Raw genomic sequence first — 3,702 nt, 5'->3', positions numbered from 1 at the left:
CTTCTGATTAGAGTGTCTTTGAAGTTTTCTTTTCTTCCTGCATTGTATCTGTTTCTTGTGAGTTTCTTTTATTTTCTCAATTATTGATTTGCTTGTTTCACTTTAATATTGCAGACTTTCCCCACATGCCTGGAATCCTTGGCTGTCTATTCATATTCAAGAGAAAATCTTTGGAAAGCTGAGGGGAAGTTTTGTGTTTATTCATTGGACTTTTCAACTTGCGGGCTTCACCGCAGGGCCATTAGGATGACATGGCTTTTTCAGCAGGGACCTTCAAATGTCAGAATCTGTAGTATTTTGGCTGAAGGTGGTTTAGTTTTGCTAGAGAAGTTTCCTCCAATCATCTGGGGGTTCATTCTGTGCAGTCTGCGACTTTCATTTCATCTCCCTGTTTTCTCTCGTATGTCTAACCTCCACTTGACCTTCTACCTCTTGTCTCTGAGTCTGGATCCTTACCTCCTCCAGCTGGGCTAAGGAAGCAGTAGCCAGACCCAGCCTCTTCCCACCTTCAGAGGCACTTGTGCTCCTAGCCTGTCTGGATTCTGTGAGCATTTCCAATTCACTTCTCATCAGTGCCTCCCTTTGGAAGCACTTAGCTGTGTCCCGGCTTCTCTCTGGTGACCCATCTACTTCTCTATTGCTTTCTGCCATCTTATGATTTAGTTCACAGTTAAAACTGTCTCCAAAACGGATGAAGGTTGACTTTCTATTTCTGATTCTTTTTTCCTTAAGTGTTTGGGTGATGTTTAAGATGAGAGAGGTTGGGCTGGGTGCAGTGGCTCATACCTGAAGTCCCAGCACTTTGGGGAACCCAGGCAGGAGGATTGCTGGAGCCCAGAAGTTTGAGGCCAACTTGGGAACCATAGAGAGATCCTGTCTCCACAAAAAATTTAAAATTAGCTGGGTGTGATGGTGTGCACCTGTCGTCCCAGTTACTCAGGAGGCTGAGGTGGGAAGATCGCTTGCGCCTAGAAGATCGAGGCTATGGAGAGCCATGATCATGCCACTACACTCCAACCTGGGCAACAGAGCAAGACTCTGTCTTGAAATGAAATGAAATGAGAGATGCTGGAAATATATACTGTCTTGAAACTGAAAATCTGGTAATCATCATTTTAATTATGATGGGCAATAATTGGTGATGGCTAAGTAAATTGCTGTGTAGAAAGACATTTTTTTCCTCTTAAATTTTGTATCTGCTGAAAGCTGATATACAAATCTGATGAAAATATGCCTTTTCCTTAAATTTGTGAGGGCAGGTGGGAAACAATGGAAGTGGTTGATTATGGCTGAAAATGACATTGCAGCATATTTTCCCCCATCATTGATAGACTGGGGATTTCTTCCCTTATTTTCATACGAATTTATACTTTCAGATCGCATCAAGGTTAGAATACGATGGAAGGTTGTAGTGAATTTTCCAAGTGATCTGTAGTACTCTGAATTTTTGCACAAAAGTCCCAAGTACAATCTTGACCTGTGGAAAGAGTGCTCGATATTCTGGTGTCATGTAAACTGACACATCATGGTTAAAAGCAACAGAGGGAATAGGAGAAGAGTCAAATGGCAGGATTATGATGGGAAGAGGATACTGAAGTATTTCCTGAGAGAGAGAGGTTTATGGGATTGATACAAACAGGAACCAGATTATAGATGGTCAAAGAGGATAGTTGATGATACTGAGTACTTATTTTACATGGCAAGGTCTGTGCTTGGAAGTGCCTTACATACATTATGTTATTTAATTATCATAATAACCCTGTAAGGAAGATGCCGTTACTTTGATTTTACAGGTTAGGAGACAGAAAATGAAGTAACTTGCCCAAATTTACACAGGACCAGGGTTCAGTTCTGGGCAGGCTTACCCTGGAGCCTCTGCTACTAACCCACTCTGTGGTGAATGAAGAGACCATGGAGATAGTGAATAGAAAAAAGGGAGGCAGCCAGTATTAATGTACATCCAAGGAAACTGTGCCCCAGGGGTCTTGTGTGTATTTCTGAGAAGAGGGGTGAGAAAAGGCACTGTGTCAACATTTGCTTCTGCCTGAACGTGCACCTCCCAGTGCTCCTCCATCAATTAGGAGAACTGTCTTGAAGAATGCTGCCTCAGCTTCTGAAGAGAAGACCCCAGGACATGCATTAATGAGAGGAGGGGAGTCACAGCTGCAGAAGAATAAAGCTCTCTGAGGGAGCCTGGGGCCCCCAGTGAGGCCTGGAGCTTGTTGACAGAGCAGCAGGAGACCCCTGCTGCTGGGCTCCCCCTGCCTCTGTAGCCTCCCTGCTGCATCTTGGAAGAGCTCACTCTTCACCGTGACTCGCCTTATATGGGACAATTAATGAGCAATGCGATGGCAGGAGACACTTCTCTATGTTGTTCATAGCTTGGGCTTGTGACCAGACAATCCACCATTGCCCTCCTGGTTCCGTTAGAGAAGTGCCTTTTCAGCAGTTTGCAGAATCAGGTTGCAAAAGCAAAGGGCCCAAAGTTAAATGCGTCACATGTTTCATTTATTTAGTCAATTGCTTTTGGGAGAAGCACGGATTTAGAAGGGAGTGCTGTTTTGTTCTGAGAGGTAATCCCTCTTTGGTCATTACTAGGATGCTTATTAGAATTACTTTGGACAAGAATGACTGGATTCTGTTACTCACTAATTCAATACAGAAGGAAGTCCCTTAAACAAAACAGTATTTTTGAAGGGCTTTCCTCTGCTAAACTGGTTTTGATTCTAAGAGGAAGGTATTATTATTCCCTTTTTAAAGATTAAGAAACTAAGGCTCAGAGATGTTTATGTAAGTACTATACCCAAGGCCACACAGGTGTTGAAATGGAAGCAGAAGTAAGATTGCCTTGCTCTTATTCAGCATGGTGCTCTTTCTTATTTATTTATTTATTATACTTTAAGTTCTAAGGTACATGTGCACAACATGCAGGTTTGTTACATATGTATACATGTGCCATGTTGGTGTGCTGCACCCATTAACTTGTCACTTACATTAGGTATTTCTCCTAATGCTATCCCTCCCCACTCCCTCGACCCCACGACAGGCCCTGGTGTGTGATGTTCCCCACCCTGTGTCCAGGTGTTCTCATTGTTCAATTCCCACCTGTGAGTGAGAACATGTGGTGTTTGGTTTTCTGTCCTTGTGATAGTTTGCTCAGAATGATGGTTTCCAGCTTCATCCATGTCACTACGAAGGACATGAACTCACCATTTTTTATGGCTGCATAGTATTCCATGATGTATATGTGCCATATTTTCTTAATCCAGTCTATCATTGATGGACATTTGGGTTGGTTCCAAGTCTTTGCTATTGTGAATAGTGCCGCAATAAACATATGTGTGCATGTGTCTTTATAGCAGCATGATTTATAATCCTTTGGGTATATACCTAGTAATGGGATGGCTGGGTCAAACGGTATTTCTAGTTCTAGATCCTTGAGGAATCGCCACACTGACTTCCACAATGGTTGAACTAGTTTACAGTCCCACCAACAGTGTAAAAGTGTTCCTGTTTCTCCACATCCTCTCCAGCACCTGTTGTTTCCTGACTTTAATGATCACCATTCTAACTGGTGTGAGATGGTATCTCACTGTGGTTTTGCATTTCTCTGATGACCAGTGGTTATGAGTATTTTTTCATGTGTTTGTTGGCTGCATAAGTGTCTTCTTTTGAGAAGTGTCTGTTCATATCCTTTGCCCA

At 42.7% G+C, this 3,702-nt stretch overlaps 1 annotated feature.

Annotated features, from left to right (window-relative positions):
* Positions 376–574: a silencer, noted in NCBI's record as "fragment chr4:82814384-82814582 (GRCh37/hg19 assembly coordinates)". NCBI's record gives its function as "represses an EF-1alpha promoter that drives an FKBP-Casp9 reporter gene in an ReSE screen in phorbol 12-myristate 13-acetate-treated (for megakaryocytic differentiation) K562 erythroleukemia cells {active_cell/tissue: K562(+PMA)}" and the evidence as "EXISTENCE:reporter gene assay evidence [ECO:0000049][PMID:32094911]".

This window comes from Homo sapiens, chromosome 4 (genome assembly GCF_000001405.40).
Source record: "Homo sapiens chromosome 4, GRCh38.p14 Primary Assembly".
Taxonomy (NCBI): Eukaryota; Metazoa; Chordata; class Mammalia; order Primates; family Hominidae; genus Homo; species Homo sapiens.
Note: the sequence above shows the minus strand (reverse complement) of the source record. Positions and strands in the feature narration are given on the sequence as shown.